Source organism: Homo sapiens, chromosome 11, assembly GCF_000001405.40.
Source record: "Homo sapiens chromosome 11, GRCh38.p14 Primary Assembly".
Classification (NCBI taxonomy): domain Eukaryota; kingdom Metazoa; phylum Chordata; class Mammalia; order Primates; family Hominidae; genus Homo; species Homo sapiens.
The window spans coordinates 44,907,897-44,927,812 of record NC_000011.10 but is presented as its reverse complement, the minus strand read 5'-3'; the positions used below and the strand labels follow the sequence as shown (position 1 = coordinate 44,927,812).

Below are 19,916 nucleotides of genomic sequence, written 5' to 3'. Positions count from 1 at the left end.
ACATCCTGCATTTGGAGAGAGGCAGAGCTGGGAGCCGGACTCTAGGGCCCATGCTATTCCTTCATGGGACACGTCCCTGAGATTTCCCTGGGCTTGCTGCGGATTTATCTTGTTCATTGTTGCCCTCCATGAGGGGACTTGTTCAACTATAACAGTGCTGGCGAAGAATAGGGCTCAGTGTGTGCTTGTTGAATACATGAATGAATAATCAATGACCCCTCCCTCTCCGCCATCTGCAGTAGCCTCCACGAAACTGCACTCCGTGGCGCTGCAGGCACAGTGGGAAACCAGGCAAGGCGAAGTTCATGGTGCCAGGTGCCCAGGCTGCTGGAGGGGGAAGCTGAGGATTGGGCTGCCTGACTTCCTTCCCCCGCAGGCCGAGGACTGACTGAGGCCCCAGAGTGCCCCTTCCTGGGTTTGGTCAGATGTGGGCAACGCTCTGTCCAGCCCCCAGGAGCAGCAAGTCGGAGATCCCAGATGATGGAGATCCCAGAGGACAGAAACGGGAGGCGGCCGCTCCTCCCTTTGGCTGAGGCGCCACCTAGTGGTGATTGCAAACGGTCTGCAGGAGCTTACCTTTCAAGGGGACTCTGGGGCCCTCAGATAAAGGAGGCTAAGGCCACCGTTGTGGATGAATAAGGCCCTGTAGGCCCTGAACACCCCACAGAGAAAAGGCCTGATCTCAAACCACGGGCTGCAGCCTGTCCTTCAAGGCAGCCGTGCTGATGCCTCTGCAAGCGTGAAATCTCTCTGGACCATGGAGCTGGGGCGGAGGTGGGGATGAGGATGGAAGAGTGAGAGGGAGTGGGGATGACACTCAGGGCCTGCCCATCCCCATTTCTGGGACACTGGCTCCCATGTTTCATCTCCAGAGTTCAAGAATGACTCTCAGGCAGCACAGACACAGCCGGGCTTACCACCCCATAGCACCCACAGTGGGGGCCCCTTGGGTCCCAGGTGAAGGAAATGAAGAGGAAAGGAGGCTGGGGGGATCTGCCTAGGCTCCACGTGAGGCTTCATCCTGGGGAGCGGCAGAAGTGGGGGCCTTTACTTACCTCGATGGCCAGTACCCCGATGGCAAGGGCTCCGGCCAAGTAGACGTAGGTCTCGAAGGTGTTGAGGATCACCGTGTAACAGCCCTGGGAGGGAGGGATGAGAGGTCAAGCTATGGCCAGGGTTGAGAGTCCTGGAGTCAGAGTCCAGCATGTGGACTAGGGTTCATGGCAGGTGTCCCCAGAGCTCTCACCCTATCACACGGCTGCTGAGACAGGACAGTGGGGAGGGGGTGCAGGGCAGGAGACCCAGAAACAGCGACTTGGCAGCATTGCACCAAAGACCCTCTTTGCCACCCGGCCCCTAAGGTGGGACAGAGAACTGACAGCGTGCAGGCCATGTCTAATGTTGCAACTACAGTGATTGGAATATTGGGAAATTTCCCATAAATATTTGGACTTCCTGCTGCTCTGGAGAAATCAGAAGAACCAGCAAGGGGAGCTATTCCTTTTCACATCAGCAGCTGCTGCCTTCGGGTGCCAACAGGTGGTCCCTGGGGATCCACAGCACTCCACCCCTCTCCCCCGCACAATTCCCTATTGTTTCACACCCACTCGCTCTACTGTTCCTCGTGACCTGCCTGGCTGCAGAAGGTGTTTTGGTTTTCGGCCACTTCCCCAAGGAAACACAGCCCAGCCTTCAAATCCCTGCTCGCATGCCACCTCCTTCGGGCAGCTTTCTGAACCAGCCCAGTCCACAGGCCCTGGACTTAATTCCCATGATCTTACTGCTTTCTTAAGCAATCCTAGAGATACATAAACTGAGACAGAGACAGAGATCGAGATCGAGATCGAGATAGATAGATAGAGATAGGAAAAAGCAAGCTAGTGCCAAGCCAGGAGCTGCCAGTCCATGGCTGCTGCCCCCTCTGACCCCAAGCACCTCACACCTCTGTCATTTTCATGTTCATAACTCTCCCCTCCCCCATGCTGACCACAGAGACTGATGCATGGTACTTGCTTTGAATGACACGTATTTTCAAAGTGGGAGAACTTTCCTTCCTTTATAGGAGCCTGCATATTCTTTGGGCCCAGGCTGAGAACCTGCAAGGGAACAAATCCCCAGATGGGGGTGGAGAGATCATGCCCAGCCCTTTTTGGGTGACGGTTGCTATTTCTGGGCTCTGTTGAGACCGGGGATTCTTGGGTGCTGACATGCTCACTTCTCTTGTCCATCGTGCAGAAGCCCAGCCCCTTTGGCCAAAAGTAGGACTGAGGCTGCACCCAGGCAGGTGGACAGCAGGGCCTGATCTGGGACTAGTGGCCAGGTGGTGTCCTAGTACCTGCCTGGAGGCTGACCAGGAGCTGGGCAGGGAAGTCCCCCAGAAGCCCTCCCTGGAGCCCCATGGAGCAAACAGGACATACCCAGATAGAAACAGACCCCACCGGCACGACGATCTGGGTCCATGATACTCTCAGGACTGAGTGTGCATGGGAATAATCGGGGAAGTGGTTGGCAATGCAGATGCCAAGACCTCGCCCCACAACACTGGATCAGTGGGTCTGGTGTGGAGCCCAGGTATCAGCATTATAGGACGATACCCAAGGTAATTTCTAGTGATCAGGCTGTGGCCAGGCTTTGAAAGACCTCAAGCCCAGAGATGACAAGGAGAAAAGGTCTTAATTGAACCTTCAGGCCTTGTCTCTGCTGTGGCACTGGGAGCCCAGTTAAGGGCTGTATGACTGGGATGGAGCCCTAAGGGCAACCCAGGGGTTCCTACCCCAGGCCAGGCCAGGCCAGGACATCAGTGTGGCTGGGGGTCCGTTCAGGGCTGGCCCTCCATTCAGTGAGGCCCAGGGTCCATCCTGGATCTGCCAGCAGACCCATGTTGGAGCCCCAAATCCTTTGTTAAGCGAGTTTTTTAAAAATTATACTTTAAGTTCTAGGGTACATGTGCACAACGTGCAGGTTTGTTACATATGTATCCATGTGCCATGTTGGTGTGCTGCACCCATTAACTCGTCATTTACATTAGGTATATCTCCTAATGCTATCCCTCCCCCCTCCCATGTGAAGCGATTTTGAAGCATTAGAACCCTAAAATGCAGAACTATAACAGCAGAAAAACTAACCTGCTCTGCGAGCAAGGAAAGAGAGGTGAGTTGTATAGTTTTGGGATCAGCCCTGGCAGGGGATGCCTCGGCCCTCCCATCATCCCCTCAGTGTTCCACGTGCCTGCCAGCCACAGGGACATAATCCCACCTCCTGCAGCCCCAACACACACACTGGGTTTGTGAACTCTTTGAGGGGTTTCCCGGACAGGGAACAGCAATGGCCCAGGAGAGTGGTATCTGGCAATGGTCCTTAGGGCCTGGTTGCCTAGGGTCCCAGCCAGCGCTGCCACTGGCTTGCTGTGCGACCTTGGGCTATTTACTTCCTCTCCCTATGCCTCAGTTGCCCCATCTGTACAATGGGGCCATGTAGATTACCTCATGGGATTGCTGTGAGGATAAAATGAGATACTGAAGGTAAGGCACTAGGAAGAGTGTTGGCAAGTAGCAAGCTCTCAATCTCAATGCCTGTTAGGATTACCAAGGATTACCGTCCGTCTCTCTGTGCCGCTCTCTTAGCATATCCTGAGTGGTGGAAAGTGTCTGAGCATAGAGTTGGGTGTCACTGCAATATAATCACACACACACACACACACACACACACACACACAACCCCAGAAGGGGACAGGAGAAGCAGCACATCTCTTCCAGAGCATGAAATTGACTTTGACATGCCTCACCCGGGGAAACTGGCAAGAAGCCGGGGACCTTGTCCAGCAGAGGGAAGCTGAGCCCTGCTGTGTGGCACCTGGGCCTTGACAGCTCATCTTCCCCTATCAGGCTTTGGCACCAAAGACCCTTCAGGCCCCTGGACTCAACCAAGCAGCCCAGGTTGCCCAATGGAAGCTTCCCAGGAACAGAGACACCCCTGGGGAGGTTGGGGCATGGACAGGATGCCACCACCCACTCTGAATGAGTGTCTGCTCTCTTGATAACTTTGCTAGGGCCTCGTGGGCTCTTTCTCACTTGATCTCATTACAGCCCTCGGGGAGGAGGGGTCTTACCTGCATTTTACCCACAAGAAAAGGGAGGGAGGAGCAGTGGCTAACTTGTTTAAGATCACACACGAGGAAGGGAAGCCAGGATTTACACTGAGGATTCCAAATTCCCGGTCTTTCCTCTGTGCTTAAGGGAAAGGGGGCTGGCATGAGCGGCTGGGTTCTCCCTCCTATGGGCCAGGCCCTGGCTGTAGCCCAGAGCTTACATCTACACACCTGGAGATTGCTTCACCACCACCCACCATCTCCACCCCGTGACGGTTTCCCCTGTCACCACCCGGTGAGACACATGGCGGGGAGCCTCTCCCCAGCCTGCCACCACAGACTATGAGTCTTCTAACCATGTGGGCTGTTGCCAGTGCCATCCTCCCTCTCTGCTGGGTGGGCACATCCCCCACCCCCTGCTGCCACCCACAGTCACCACCCACCTAATCTGATGAGGGGCAGCCAGGCCTGGTTGCCACCACAATGGGTCACCCACACGCAATGCTTCCCACACGTACATCTCCAGCACCGACCCCTCCAGCTCCACCCCATACACCCAGCTGCCCACTGGACACCTCTGCTCAGCTGTTCCAAAGGCTTCTTTTTTTCTTTTTTTTGAGATGGAGTCTCACTGTGCTGCCCAGGCTGAAGCACAGTGGCATGACCTCAGCTCACCGCAACCTCCGCCTCCCGGGTTCAAGTGATTCTCCTGCCTCAGCCTCCCAAGTAGCTGGGATTATAGGCACATGCCACCACGCCAGGCTAATTTTTGTATTTTTAGTAGAGACGGGGTTTCTCCGTGTTGGCTGGGCTGGTCTCGAACTCCTGACATCAGGTGATCCGCCCGCCTCGGCCTCCCAAAGTGTTGGGATTACAGGCGTGAGCCAACGTGCCTGGCCTCCAAAGGTTTCTTAGACGCAACATGCCCCAGACTGAATGCAAGATCGTCCCCAAACCAGAAGCCAGTCACTCAGCACCTCCTCCTGCCCCTCCTCCAATGAGGACCCATCACGAAGGCTGGTAGATTTTGCCTCCTGAACATTTCTCAGATCCACACACCTCTCTGTCTTTACCGCCATCACCCTGGTCTTACCTGCTGTCCTTTCTCACTGGCACCAGTATAAAAGCCCCCTGTCTACCCAGGTCCACCACCAATGTGGACCAGGGGGCCACAGAGCAACTAGGATGTCCCTGTGGCCACGCCATGCATCCCTGCACACCTCACCCCCACCCCAACCCCCACAGTGAACTCAACTCTTCCCAGATCCTTGCCATGGGCCTGCCAGCAAAGTCAGAAATGTATCCTAGGGCCGGACATGGTGGTTCATGCCTGTAATCCCAGCACTTGGGGAGGCCAAGAGGGTGGATCATTTGAGGTCAGGAGTTTGAGACCAGCCTGGACAACATGGTGAAATGCCGGTCTCTACCAAAAAATACAAAAATTAGCTGGGTATGGTGGCATGTGCCTGTAGTCCCAGCTACTTGAGAGGTTGAGGTGGGAGAAACACTTGAACCCTGGAGGTGGAGGTTGCAGTGAGCCAGGATTGTGCCATTGCACTCCAGCCTGAGCGACAGAGCGAGACTCAGTCTCAAAAAAAAAAAAAAAAATGCATCCTGGGCTTTAAGCAAGAGGGCTTTGGAGGAAAAGACAAATAGAGACAGTTCCACAGCAGCAGATTTTTAACGGGACGAAATGCCTAGGAGGGACATGAATGTCTCAGCAAAGAAACCCCAGGAGCCAGTCTCAGACCCTCAGGAACAACAGAGTCACTGGAAAGAATGAATGTGGCTGTGCAGGGACCTCTCTGATGAGCTCTGATTTTGAAGACATGCCCAGGAGAGGAAAGGAGACATCCTAACGGAGGATGAGTCCAGAAATGGGAAGCACATCTGATGCGGGGAATGCGGCCCATGGGAAGCCTCCTGAAAACTTACAAGTAGCATTAAAAGGTTCTAAGTTTGGCTGTTGGCAACGGGCATCTCAAACAACAGCTCCTTCACCAAGTTACAAATTCACTGGTCTTTCACATAAACCCCACGCTATGGTGGCCGCTGTATGCCATGGAACTGTACGTGGCCCAGGCTCCTTCTCTCTGGATGCTCTGCCATCCTAGGGGCCACCTCCCTCTGCCAAGTCCTAGCCAGAGAAAAAAGGAGGGGTGGGCACAGCACTTTCTCTTAAGGATGTGACTCAAGTTGCACAAATCACCTCTGCTCACCTCCCGTTAGCCAGAACTCGGTTACATGGTCTAGCTGCAAGGCAGGCTGGGAAGTGCAGCCTCTAGCTGGTGGTCATGGGGTGTGATAACCATTCCCTTCCCAAGAGAGTAGGGGTGAATGGATCGTGGGGGGCAGCCAGCAGCCTCTGCCAACATATGGAATCTGAGGTCCAGCGAGGGTGTCTTGGCGAAGGCAACACAGCAGTTAACAGCCCACCCCTGCCTGCCATGGAAGCCTGAAACTCCCCTCCCCGCCCTGCAGCTGCTCCCCACGGCAGGTCTCTCTGCCCCACGTCCACAGTGGCCTCAACTCAGGGCCCTCATTTCTCTATTGAGCCTCTTTCCCCCAATGCAGGAAGGCAGGGTGATGAGGGACAGAGAGAACGTGGCCCTCAGGGCCTCAGGAATCCATGGGGATGTGCCAGGGCCAGAGGGGCTGAGTTCCTGGGGCAGAGCTGAGGCTGGAAAGGGCCCGCCAGAGCCCCAGGACCCAGGCCTCTGCTCACTGTCACCTCCTCTGGGACTTTGCAAGTTCTGCCTTGAGCCCCCACCCAAGGCCCATTCTAGCCCCTCATCTGGTTTTATTTCTTCGCAGCAATCATGACCATGTGAAATGATTACTTCTCATTAGTTTGCTGCTTGTTCATCTTGCGCGTCCTCTAATGAGATCGTGAGCCTCGCAGGAACAGGGGCCTTGTCTCCTGTCCCCTGCTGTGTCTCTTGCATCTGGAACTCTCCATGAGACCCTCGTTAAAGTCCTACTCAAGCAAGGGGGCTGGGGCCCAGGCTTAGATCACCCTCGTCCTCTCCCTCCCTCTCCTCCTGCCTAGCCTGGTCACACACCCACACTGGCAGAGTGGGGGCTGGTCAGTGGGAAGAAGGGGATTAAGAGCAAGGGCATTGTGAACTCATAAGGGTGTGTGGGCAGGAGGCACACAAAGCCAGGCGCTTGTCTTCCCTAGAAATGGCACGTGCAGGAAGGGAAAGGGTTTCTTCCAAGGCTGCGAGGAAGTCCTCAGGTTGCAAGAGAACCTGAAGTCTAGGAGCTTCTCTGACCTTGGAGAGTCAGGTCAAGGAGACCTTGCTCCCTTAGGGTGCCCCACATGGCAAATAAGAGCTTCCTCCAAAATACAGTGCATGGCTAAGAAGGGCCCCCCACTGTGCAATTCTGGTTCTGTCCCCCTCCCTCCCTTTGGACCTGCATTATCAGAAACTCAGGAAACATCGGGAAACTCCTACTCACCCCTTAGCCCCAGCCTGAATGCCCACTCCAGCGGCAGACCATCTGCCACTGTCATCCTTCCCCATTTTGGTTGGATCTCAGGGGCTTGGACAGAGAGCCTCCATCAGCCCCTGCTCAGGTGCAGGCATCCCATATCATGGCCAACACTTCCCTGGGATTCCTGGGGTAGCTTCAGACCCTCTGGGGTGATAGCGCCTCCCACCCAGCTCTGGCCACCCAAATCCCGATAGACCCACTCCCCTGTCTGGAGAGCAGGGCCAGTACCTGCTTGTTTAGGAATAGGCTCCTTCCCAGGAGGCACTCCTCCCGGCTCAGCAGGACCCCGTCCCGACTTTGGGGTTCCCTCCGGCAGCAGGCCTCCGGCACCTCTTCACTATCCAGGGTCAGGAGTCGAAACACAGATGCAAACTTAAAGTCTTCAGGCCCGTTGACCCCGCAGCAACCAAACTAGGGGGAGATCCCAGAGAAGGTTCTGGTGGGCAGGAGGAGGACACAGGGGCGGGGACAGAGAAGGACATACAGCCTCTGCAAAGGAGTGGCATCAGAAGACTGGGTGTGGGCGGGCTCCACCTGTCACCACTGTGTGACCATGGGAAAGCCACTCAGCTTCTCTGGGCCTTCAGTGTCCTCATCTCTATAACAGAGGTGGCAGTAACAATTCCTACCTCACCAGGCGCTTAGCCATCCATAAACAGTTGCTGTGGTTATTATCATCATCATAATGACCATTGCTTGGGGACCCAAGACAGGGAGAGCAAACAGGTTTCATCCCGAGTAGGGACTGTGATCAAGTGGCATGGCTGCCTGGAATGCTGCGTGGATGGTGATTCCAAGGCCAGGTCTGTGATCAATGGGAGAGTGCCTGGATTGATTACTGATGCCTGGCGTGGGCATGTGAACACTGGGCATCGTGGCTCTGAATGTTCATAGCATCTCTGGGGCGTCACTCACTGTGATCATGACCGAGTTCCAGGTGGCAGAGAAGACGTCTGTGTCGTTATTGCCCTGGTAGTGCTTGGTGAGCTCCTTGGTGAAGAATTCTCGGGTGAGCTGGGGGCAGAGGGAGAAGATGGGCTTAGGCCTGGCAGTTGGGTGCAGCCCCCACCCTCCATCGTCTCTCCATCCACCTGCTTGGGAGTTGGGGGAATGAGAGCTAGGGGCTCTGCATCCTGGTGCCAGGTCCCCTGGGATTCTCCTAAACCACCAACTTGGGGCAGTCTTCTTATCCCCAGTGGAGAAAGGAAGTCCATACACATGCACATCTCGGTGGAGCCGAGGTCAGGGCACGCTGAGGACCTCACTCCACCTGCAGCTCTGCCCAGAGGGAGGGCTTATCTGGGTGGGGAGTTTGCACCTCACCCCACCCCTTCCACCTGAGCTGTTCCCCAGACAGAGCCAAGCAGATGCCCTGGGTCCCAGGGCCTGAAGAAGCTACAGGACCGGGCAGGAAGTCTTTGTACATCAGTTTCCAGAGGAGTCCTCCACAGTTTCTCCTACTCCCAAAATATTCTCCTTCCCTCCTGCTGCAGTCAAAGGCTAGGGCCCTGGGTGGTGCCCAGCAGAGGAGACCATCTGGGCACCATTGTCTGCTCACAGGCTGTGGTGGCCTCCTCCTCTGCTCCGTGCTGGCTACCCTCCCCGCCCGCCTCCTCTACCCCAGGGCCATTTTGTGTCTCCTGCCCCATTGCCCCTCCTCCCCTCCCATCTTTCTCCAACCCCCCGCCCCAGTCTCCCTTTGGCTATGGTGCCTGGCTCTGGTCAACTCAGGGGAGGCAGCTGGCACTCCAGCTGCCTGTGGCCTCTGGAACTTGGTGGCTTGTGGGGCCAAGGTACCCAGGAGGATACCAGCCAGGGCCTCCTCCGAGAGCAGTCTGCCCTGTGCTCCTACATTCCAGCCTCTCCGACTATTCTGACTGTCTCACTATCACTGGGCCGTTACTAGGCAAGGTTTGGAAGGGATGTTTCCAGAATAAGGTATGGGGTTGTACCAGATGCTTTGGGAGCAGAGAAAAGCCCTTGCAGGAACAGGCTTACTGGGGTCTCTCCCTGGTCTGCGGGGCCTTGCCAGGCGGGTGGGGCCATGACTTGGGCTGGAAGTGCCAGATGAGAGGCTGCCCACTCTCTGAGACCCTTCAAGGAGGGGAGGAGCCAGACCTGAATGGCCACCAACCCCTTGCTGATAGCAGGAGGCAGGAAAGCTTGGGGCCTGATACGTACATTTTCCCTGAAGATGAAGGCCAGGATGGCTGCTGAGAGCTCTGCCAGGAAGATGATCAGGATGAACAGGAAGAACTGCAGGGAGAGGAACAGCCTTGTGAGCCCAGAGGGCAGGCAGGGGATGGGGCGGCCACTGGCCAATGCATCCGTCCATCTGTCACACCAGTGACGCAGTATACTCATTTTGTAAGATTAAGGCACTCCACTGCTATCAGACATTTTTCATAACAAACACACCAGTGATTCCTCCTTGGAGTCAACAGGATTGAGATCAAAATATGAAAAGAATAAACAAATATATACCTTCCATGCAAATGGTACCCTTAGAGAGGCCCCTCGTACAGTGTGCAACCTGAACAACCCTACTCAGCCACCCTGGAAGGAGATCGCTGATGAAACCCGTTTGAGCCCACTCTGGGTAAATTTCCTTCTGGGTAGGTTGTACGGGCTGCGAGAATCCTGAGTGCCTTGGGGATCCCCAGCTGGATTTCCCCACCCTGCCAGCCCCAGGGCCACCTCTCCCTGCCCCACTGCCTCTGGTTCCCATGGGAAGTGGGGAGGTCACATAGACCTTCAGCCAAAACCCAAGGAATAAGATTGGAGGGAAGGTGGTATGACTACCAAATCTCAAAACCCATGGGCCAGGAGTTTGGTATCTAACACAGTCTTCTGCTCCACTCACTGAATTTGATGTTCCCTGAATGAACCACAGTGCCTCTCATTTCGGGGACCTCACAGGCTCTGTTACCTCTGCCAGGAAGGCACTGCCCTTCCTTGCCCACCAGTTCCTCATTTCTCCAGATCAGGTGAAGCCTCAGCCCCTCTCCTGGTGAGAAGCCTTTCCTGACTTCCCTAAGCAGGGAGAACCCTCCCTCTCCTGGGCTCCCCCGCACCACAGTGCCTAACAGAGGTGCCCGCACGGCCTTAGCACAGGGGCTGTCACTCAGCGCGCTGCCTGCTTGGATGCCTGGGTCAGCACAGGTGTTGGTGCAGGACTCTTACATGGATGAATGAGCCGGGGTGGAGCACTCGCCATGAAGGCCCTGTGATCTGCCACATCACCGGCCCTGGTCATTGTGTGGTTTCCTTTGGGCTGAGAGCTGTCAGCAGAAGAAACTGGCTTTGCCTTCATTACTCAGCATAGCTGGTGCCCTTGACAAAGTCCGTTGTCACCCTATCTGGAAACCACCAGCAGAGGACTTTATCTCTGGCACACACAGAGACTGGTTCTTCCATGCCCTCCCAGGCACCCAGGCAGCAGCCAGACCTGCTCTCTGGGGTCCCAGTCGTTAGGACCGCCTGCCTGCCTGCCTGCCCCCGATGTGCCAGGCTGGAAGGAGGCAAAGGGTGTTGGGCTTCAAGTCAGGACACCTCAGGGCCCACCTTGTCTGTCCTCGTGTGTCATGGGACAACCACTCATACAAACCCCTTCCAGCCTCAGTTTTCTTGCCAGAAAAATGGGGATGTGGAGACCCACTTCTGGGGATTCCCCGTGGGGAATCACGAGGCATGTGAAAGCATTTCCCCTGTTGGAAATGAGCCAAGCAGAGCTTGGCATTGGGCTCTCATGTGCAGAAGGGGAGTGAATGTGGGCCACGAGCAGGATCCTCTGTGGCCTCCGAGGCCCGGCTCCTGGTGATGCACTGGCCTCCTCACAGATGCTCTGTGGGCTGCTGACAATACCTTCAGGCGTCTCTCTCCTGGAATGTGCCTCTTGTGATCAGAGGAAGATTTCTGTCACTTTATCCCCACCCCAGGGAGACCCCAGTCCAATTCCCTCCCTGATTCTTCAGCATCCACAGCGGCTGCCTTCTAGAGGTCCCGAGGCCTCTCCAAACTGTGTGGGCCAGGGTCCACCTTAGTGAGCGCCTCGGGAGGAGTATAGAATCTGTCCATTCAGCACACGGACATAAAACATCTCCGAGGCCTGGCAAGTGGGTTTTAGTTTTTTAAGTGTCCAAACCTAAAGAGAGCCCCTTGCTTCAGCAAAGCAGCCCAGCCCGTGGCGGGGATGTGTCACTCCTCAATCCTGCGTTTTGCTGGCTGGTTTCTGTCCCCAGCCACCACATCAAGTCTGCTTCAGCCCTCAGATGCACCATGGGCTCCTGAGCCCCTGAGGTCTCACTGGGCTCCAGCTGCTCCGACACAGGCTTCTGCTCTCACAGGGGACCGCCGGGCACCGGACGCTGTTCTCACGGTCTCTTTTTTGTGTAGTTTCCCCTTTTCGAAGTTGAGGAAGCTGAAGCTGGAGAAGGGAAGTGACTACTCCACAGGTGCAGAGCTCTTTGGAGCTTTGCAGAAAGAACACTCCCCTCCTGGCCCAGCTGCCTTTTCAGAGCGCCAGGCTGTGTCTGCTCCCTGATGCAGGGCGAGGCTCAGGGATTGCTCTGTCACTCTCTTCTGAGCCCATGAGTCTGTCTCCACAGGTCAGCAGGTTGCCTGGCTGAGGTTTGCTGGGTGGCCTGCTGGCACATCTGGATGAGGGACACCAGGCCAGATGCTCCTGTGCTTCCTGAAGAAGGGACTGACCTCCAGCTGAGGTCAGGGAGCAGAGTTCCCCAACCAGTGCAGAGTATGATGAGGGTGGGGTGGGGGAAGCCTCCTGTGCCCCAGGTCACAATGCCCATGGTCCATTCTGCCACTCCTACAATTCTCATTTCCAGGAGGGTGGGGGGCTCTGGGCTCAGTGGCTGCTGAGTGATGTGTTTTCTGCCTCTGCAGCCTCGCCTCCCCTGTGACAGTGACGGAGGCCGCTGGCAGGGGTCCTGGCATTTCCATTTGGCTGGTGATGGATGGCCATCCGCTTCCATTACATGGGTCCTCTATGAGGAGCCCCTCCCCACCCTCTGCCCTCTCACTGGAGCCACTGGCAGGTCCCCAGGCTGGCAAGGAGCAGCCTCAGAAATGGTTTCCATCCACGGCAATGAGCTGGAGCTGGCGTGCCCACCAGCCTCGGCCTGGACAGTGATAAATAATGGACGAAGCAGATCACAGGCCTCGTGTACTCTGTGTGCCCGTCACTCTGGGATGTGTGTGTGCCATCCAGGATGACTGCGCATGGCTTCCACGAGGTAATGCAGGTGCGGTGCTTCTCGCAAGACCGGCATGACATGAGAGCTGCTCAGATGGTTACTTAGAGCCCAGAGGAAGCACATCCTTCCCGAAGACAAGTGCTGGTGTGGGCGGCTCTGGAAAAATAGCAATAGCTACCTGCTGAGTCCTTGCTACCCAGACACTGCGGATCTTACATGGATCATCTCATCAAGCCCTCTCATCTAGTGAGACAGATGCTATTATCAGCAACACCCCCATTTTACTGAGAGCGGATTGTGGCTGAGAGGAACAGTACTCGGCCCAAGCTGGCATAGCTGGTGGGCAGTACCTCTGGGACTTCACCCCAAGAACTCTGATTGCAGAACACAGCCTCTCATCACCATGTTACCCTGGAAGCCACAGGAGCCCCGAGGTCTTATGGTTTCTACATGGCCTGCAAAGCCTCCTGAGGCTCAGCACCAATTCTTCTAGTTTCCCATTTATAGAGTGCTTAGGCATCCCACAAACACAGCCAAGCAAAACATGCATTTCCCACTGGATCATGAATGCAACACTATGGCTGGGAAGGAAGTATGATTATCCTCATTTTGTATATGAGGAATCTAAGGTTTAGAGTGGTTAAGTGACCAGCCCCAGGTCATACAGCCAGGAAATGACAGAGCAGGAGTTAGAGCCCGGGCTTTTCTGACTCCAAAGTCCATGCTCTTAGCCAAACCTCTGCTACCACCTCCTCTCTGTTCCTTGGCTCCGGGGCTGTTTACTGAGCACCTGCTCTGTGCCAGGCACTGTGCTAGGTATTGGCAAATAAATGCATACAAGGCAGACTCAGTCCCCATCTTCATGGAGTTTCCATTGAGCTGAAGCATCAGGAGATGAGATATAAGAATAAACCTGGGAAGCCGTGGACTGGAGGAAGTGGGCCTCCCCAAGCCCAAGGCCTGGGCATGACTTGAGTATGTGGGAGTGTGAATCCTGTGAACCAAAGTGCAAGGCTGAGGTGCCCATGGCAGTCACAATGCCACCTCTGCCAACTCGCCCTTCTCCAGCATGAAAATGTCCTCCTGCTTAAGACAGTTTACCAGTGTTAAAGTCCTTTGGGGAATTCCCCTGGACCCAGCCATTCCTGGGGCTTCCCCTCATCAAGGCCTTTCCCAGGGTTTGCATCCCATTTGCCTAAGGACACCTTTGTCAGCCATTCCTGATCCTCTAATTTGCATCACTTTCCTTAGGATGGAAAAATTAGCAAAGGGGAGGAAACTGCTATGTTGTCTAGTTGGGAACATTTCCAGGCTTTTCTAACCCATCTGCTTATAGGCAATGTCTGCTCACAGTTCCCATTTCTAATAAATATTTACCAAATTTACATACTGCATGTACAATTCAGCTCATTTATCTTTTTTGAATATACTCATCTCTTTTTGCTGTTCTTTTTTCCAGTTGAGCTTGCCTTCATTATAAAATATTTTTAAAATTAGAATTTTTAAATAAGTTGGCTTAAAAAAATCCTTGAAATACTCAAAGGTAAGCAAATGAGAAAAAGGGATGCCACAAATTTTCAATAGGAGGCTGAAATTGTCCTATTGCATGTGAGTGCTGTAATACTGATCAACACGAGTATTTGGGAAATGGACCTTTAGATAGATAAATTGATCATTAGGTGGTCTGGTCATTAGACTGATTGTCCCCAGGTCCTGTAGGACTTCAGTCTCAGAGCAGAGGGAAGGGGACAGTCAGCCCCATCTCAAGGCCTCCTTGCTTTGTGAACCTTTGAGCCAGGTTTCCTGGGCTGACTAAAGTCACTCTTTTGGCCCCTCTCAAGACAAGCCTTCTCTCCTTTCTGACAGGCTGAGAAAGCAGTGAAAGGCTTCTAGAAGGATCCCAGAAGCTGCCAGGGGTGAGGCTCCATGCCCTCTTCGGTTGGAACCACCACACAGTTAGGTCCAGGTTCAGCCGGGAAGGGAGAAGTGGTTTTTCTTATTTTTTAGGGCATAAACCTTTTTGAAAACCTTCCAGAAACTTTGGTGCCTTTCTCTGGAAACACTCACAGAACCCCCCCAACCCCCATGCACACAACACACATGCACACACAACACACATGTGCACACACAGGCACATGTGCACATGCATATATATGTGCACCCACGCACACATGACACCCATGCACATGTAACGCCCATGCACGTATAACACCCATGCATGCATAACACCCATGCACATACAACACCCATGCACGTGTACATATGCACAAAGCAATGCACACATGTACACACAAACACACACGATAGAACACAACATACATGCACATACAACACACGTGCACATACACACTGTACCCATACACATGAGTATGCACACAATCCATGTATACACAATACACATACACAGGACCTGACATAACATAACATTTTGCATATAATTTTAGGTAAATTTTGGAGTCCATTCCAGGCTATCCAGAGCCTGTGGATAGCCCTGGTCTGGGAGCCAGAAGACCTTGATCCAAGCGTCCTTTGCCTCTGACCCACACTGTGACCTCAGGCTTGTGTGGGCGGGGCCCTAGAGAGGGGAGGGCAAGCAGGGGAAGTGGAGAGAGAGACAGGGAAACGGGGAGGGAGAGATCAGGACAGGGACAAGGAAAGGGCGTAGGAATAAAAACAGAGATCAAGAGAAAGACAAGGCCAAGTGTGTGGTGCCCGCCTGGAATCCCAACACTCTGAGAGGCCGAGGCGGTGGATCATTTGAGCCCAGGAGTTCAAGACCAGCCTGAGCAACATGGTAAAACCCTGTTTCTACAAAAAATACAAAAATTAGCTGGGCGTGACAGTACGTGCCTGTGTTCCCAGCTACTCGGGGGGCTGAGGTGGGAGGATCACTTGAGGCTAGGAGGTTGAGGCTGCAGTGAGCTGAGATCACACTGCTGCACACCAGCTTGGGCCACAGACTGAGACCCTGTCTCGAAAAAAAAAAGGACAGAGATGGGGAGGACAGAGGCAGAGAGGAAAGGGAGCTACACAGAGATAGGCAGAAAGAAGGGGGACAAAGGGAGAGAGGCGGGGGTGGGGAGGGGAAGGGGAAGGATCTGCCATCAGGCCTTGTCGAAGGGCCCCCAGCCTGGCAGCCAGGATCACCTCTCTCGGGAGGATCGTGGACACATCTCCTACCCCTGGGCCTCAGTCCTGCCTCGCATAGCACGGGAGGGAGGACGTCCTGGGGCGGCTGGCAGGTTTGCAGGCAGCCACTTACTGGAGGAGACTAGAGCCGCTCCAGCCTGCTCCCAGCCAAGAACACCAGCCTGGCTTCCTGTCTTGGCTTCAGAGCCGAGCCCATTAACAATGAATGAGTCCCTGGGGGCCGAGGTGAGGAGGGGGAAAGGGAGGCTGGGTCTGTTCTGGGACCCATATCCAAGCTCCTTTTAAAGTCCCCTCGGGCTCCCCAGCCAAGACTTCTGCGAGCACCGTGACAAGCTGTAGAGAATTGTCCACCAGGGGGCGCTCAAAGTTTTTCTTTGTTTCTCTTCAAATGAAGTCTGCAGTGTTTGCGCTGTTGAAGGACAAATAGGCCCAAGGCTCCTTGTCACTCATTTCGCAGCTGACTTCACTTCCTTTGGATGGGGAGCATCTCACCGGGACACAAATGGGGCCGTGCAGTGTGCTCTCGTCTGGGGAGGAGGTATGGTGCCAGGTCTCTCCTCCCAGCACTGCTGGTGCTGGCTTATCTACAGAACCTTGCAAGGGAGCCCCCCAGCCAACCAGCCCAGTTCTCCCTGTCATTTAACTCCGCCCACGAATTCGCCCATGAGGAGCATCCGCAAGCTTACCCAGACACACCCACGCTTCTCTAAACAGGGCTGTTTTTAACTTACCCTGTAGCGGGACTGGGCTCAGCCCAGAAGTTCTCCAAGTCCAGGACCTCTTAGAGAAGACCCATCCACCCAGCACAGGAAAGCAGGCGGAGGCCCCAAGCGCCACCACCCATGGGAATCCAGGAGACTCGAGAACGAGAAGACCCACTGCTTGTCTGGTTTGGCTGTGATCTATAGCTGAGCTGGTCGGCCCCCTCGTTTAACAAGAAGACATGGCTGCTCTGGGAGGTTGGGGAACTAGATGGGAGGCACACCCTTAGGGGATGGAGCAGGGAGTACCCTCAAACCAGGCCTGCCCACTGCCCAGCTCATCCGCACGGCTCGGCTGCCTCCCCTGTGCCTGTCTGTGAGGGAAGGGACCATCACTCCTGGTCCCCGACATATCTTCAGCACCCAGTGAACTACATGCGCATGATAGGAGTTCAAGGGCTACTTACTTGATGAATAAGAAACCTTCAGAGGCCATATCATACCGTTTCAGAATTGCATATCTACAAGGGGAAGGCCTCATCCACTAGGCATCTTAGCGATGTTACTAAGGAGTTATATATTAGAGTTTTTAATAGCAAGCAAGTGGAAAAACATCAAGGTCAATGTCAGTGCTCTCAGCTGACCATGCCTTGGAGAAACCTGGTTGTTCAGACCTGGATGCCAAGGCCCCCGCCATCTGGGCCAGCTCACCCACTGCAGGCACGGGCCCACTGCAAAAGCAGGCTCTGGAAGCTGGGGCCACCAAGGCAGATGGAAAAGGCTGGGGACCGCCCCACCCCTGGAGGTGGACCTATGTGGCACAAACCTTATTCTGAGTTTCCTGGCATGCGGACACAGACTAGGTGTGTGTTAAGCCAAGGGTCCTGGATTGACTGCAGGAAAGCAGCAAAATGAAGTGGGAGAGAGGAAGGGCTACCCCAGGGAGAAAACAGGTCCCAAAGGCATGGGAAGAGGCAGCCTGAGGCACTGCAGGGGCCCTGACCTAGCGTCTGTATCATCCCCTCTGCTGCCAACTCCATGGGACTCTGGGCAAGTTGCTGAATGTCTCAGGGTTTCAGGACCATTGACTACCAAATGAGTGGGGTCAGACGTGCTCATCTCCATGATCCCTTCTGCTTTGACAGCCCGCCCCAGTTTGGGAAGCACTGGTCTGAATGGAAGCCAGGCAGGGCCTGGGAGTCTGCAGCCAATCCCTGACACCCCTCAGAGCACCCATGGATGGGGTGGGGGCTGGGGTACTCACAAATAGCAGCAGACACTTGTTCTCACGGACGGCCCCGCAGCAGCCCAGGAAGCCGAGCAGAAAGAGCAGGCCCCCCATGGCCAGGAGGATGTAGGCGCCCGTGAGGAGCAGAGGATTGGCAGCCACGATCTCCCGGAAGCCGGTGGGGTCCACCATGACCCAGATGCCGATGGCCAGCAGGCAGGCCCCGCCCAGCTGCTCGGGCCAGTGGAGGAGTTGGGAGGAGAAACAGGCAGAAAGGGAGGTTAGGCACTTCTGACCCACCACTCCCCTGAGCCAGCCCCAGGGTCAGAGGCATCAAGCACTAGGTGAGCCAGGCAGGAATTCACCTGCGGCGAGAGCCAGTGAGTCCCAGCCGCACCTTGAATTGCTTTTAATTTTTCTAGCTGCCGTGACCTTAAGTGCAACACGCATCCTCTAAATCCAATTTCCGACCCAAGCCCCACCTCGGGCTGTATCACATAAAGGCTATTTGCCAATTTTATCTTCTCTTGAAATGTCAGACCTGTAGGATTAGGAGGTCATCTAGTCCAACCCTCTGATTCCATACAGAGGGAACCAACAACTTGCTGAAGGTCACACAGCAAGTTCATGGCAGAGTCAGAGTTTGGTCGCAGGCCCCCTGACTCCAGCCTCAACACCCTAAACAAAGGTCCATGAACATGCTCTGAGTCAGCCCTATGCTGTGTTTGCACCACCCATGCTAGGGGCTGGGAAGACACAGACCAAGTCATCGTCATTGTCCCCCATGGGACTCTCAGTGAGGTTCCAACTTGAGAGTGGGCTCCCCACTCTCAAATCCATAGCTCAAAAGATTTCTTATTTATGTCTCCATCAACATGGGCTCTCTATGCCTTATTTATCTTTGGAAAGAGGCAGCGTAGTCTAGAGAGAGAGCTGTGCCACTTATTAGTTGTGTGACCCTAGGCAAGTGTCAAAATCTGTCTGAGCCTTTTAGCTTCCTTGTGGTCAAAAGAAGACTCAAACACCTTCATCCTAAGGCAGCCCTAAGGAAGAAAGGATAGAAGGCGTTTAGCAGATTTCAATAAATATCTGCTCCATTTTTCTTTTTCTTTCTTTCTTTCTTTCTTTCTTTCTTTCTTTCTTTCTTTCTTTCTTTCTTTCTTTCTCCTTTCTCTCTCTCTCTCTCTCTCTTTCTTTCTTTTTTGAGACAGTCTTGCTCTGCTACCCAGGCTGGAGTGCAGTGGCGGGATCACATCTCACTGCAGCCTTGACCTCCTGGGCCCAAGTCATCCTCTACCTCAGCCTCCCAAGTAACTGGGACTACAGGCACATGCCACTACACCCGGCTAATTTTTGTATTTTTCTATAGAGACTGAATTTTGCCATGTTGCCCAGGCTGGTCTCAAACTCCTGGGCTCAAGTGATCCTCCTGCCTTGGCCTCCCAAAATGTTGGGATTACAGGTGTGAGCCACTGCGCCCAGCCTATTCCATTTTTCTTGGGCACAGATAAGTATTAGAAGCAGATCTGTTGTGGGAAGAACCAAAGTTTGGCACCATGGGATTTGCGGGCTGTAAAGTATTTGAAATCCCTTTGTGTGGTGGGAGGACCGGAGGCCCAAGAGGCCTGTGTGAGGGTTGACAGCTGGGCGACAGGAAAACTGCTGGGCTTTGGCTTGGCTGAGCAGGACTGCAAGCTGAAGAGAGCTGATGGCTTTGGGCAAGGGGCATTTGTAGGCGACCTTAGGGCAGGAGTCCAGTGGAGAGGCCTGAAGGACCCAGCAGGGGAAAGAGAAGGAAAGACTTAACAGGCATGGCCAGCGACAGGGTTTCCATTTTTGCCATCTGCTGTGCAGTGTCTCTCTCCTTTTTTTTTTTTTTCTGAGACGGAGTTTCACTCTGTTGCCCAGGCTGGAGTGCAGTGGCACGATCTCGGCTCACCACAACCTCTGCCTCGCAGGTACAAACGATTCTCCTGCCTCAGCCTCCCGAGTAGCTGGGATTACAGGCACCCGCTACCACGCATGGCTACTTTTTGTAT

At 54.5% G+C, this 19,916-nt stretch overlaps 1 protein-coding gene across 8 annotated transcripts in view, besides 3 other annotated features; it reads right to left on the bottom strand.

The window, feature by feature from the left end:
* TSPAN18 (tetraspanin 18) overlaps positions 1-19,916 on the bottom strand; it is a 206,114-nt gene that overhangs the window by 4,611 nt on the left and 181,587 nt on the right. For all 8 annotated transcript variants that reach the window (XM_047427847.1, XM_011520459.4, XM_047427846.1 and 5 more), the window contains 5 exons: positions 17,914-18,108; positions 9,767-9,841; positions 8,501-8,599; positions 7,814-7,996; positions 1,056-1,139 (listed from right to left, as the gene is read on the bottom strand). In XM_047427847.1, coding sequence (XP_047283803.1) covers positions 1,056-1,139; positions 7,814-7,996; positions 8,501-8,599; positions 9,767-9,841; positions 17,914-18,108 — 636 coding nt within the window. The remainder of the gene's footprint in view (positions 1-1,055; positions 1,140-7,813; positions 7,997-8,500; positions 8,600-9,766; positions 9,842-17,913; positions 18,109-19,916) is intronic.
* Positions 4,514-5,015: an enhancer, noted in NCBI's record as "H3K4me1 hESC enhancer chr11:44944349-44944850 (GRCh37/hg19 assembly coordinates)". NCBI's record gives its function as "activates a minimal SCP1, AML or CMV promoter by ChIP-STARR-seq in primed H9 embryonic stem cells {active_cell/tissue: H9 hESC(primed)}" and the evidence as "EXISTENCE:reporter gene assay evidence [ECO:0000049][PMID:30033119]".
* Positions 12,138-12,237: an enhancer, noted in NCBI's record as "active region_4664". NCBI's record gives its function as "activates an Ori minimal core promoter by ATAC-STARR-seq in GM12878 lymphoblastoid cells {active_cell/tissue: GM12878}" and the evidence as "EXISTENCE:reporter gene assay evidence [ECO:0000049][PMID:35858748]".
* Positions 15,950-16,806: an enhancer, noted in NCBI's record as "H3K4me1 hESC enhancer chr11:44932558-44933414 (GRCh37/hg19 assembly coordinates)". NCBI's record gives its function as "activates a minimal SCP1, AML or CMV promoter by ChIP-STARR-seq in naive H9 embryonic stem cells {active_cell/tissue: H9 hESC(naive)}" and the evidence as "EXISTENCE:reporter gene assay evidence [ECO:0000049][PMID:30033119]".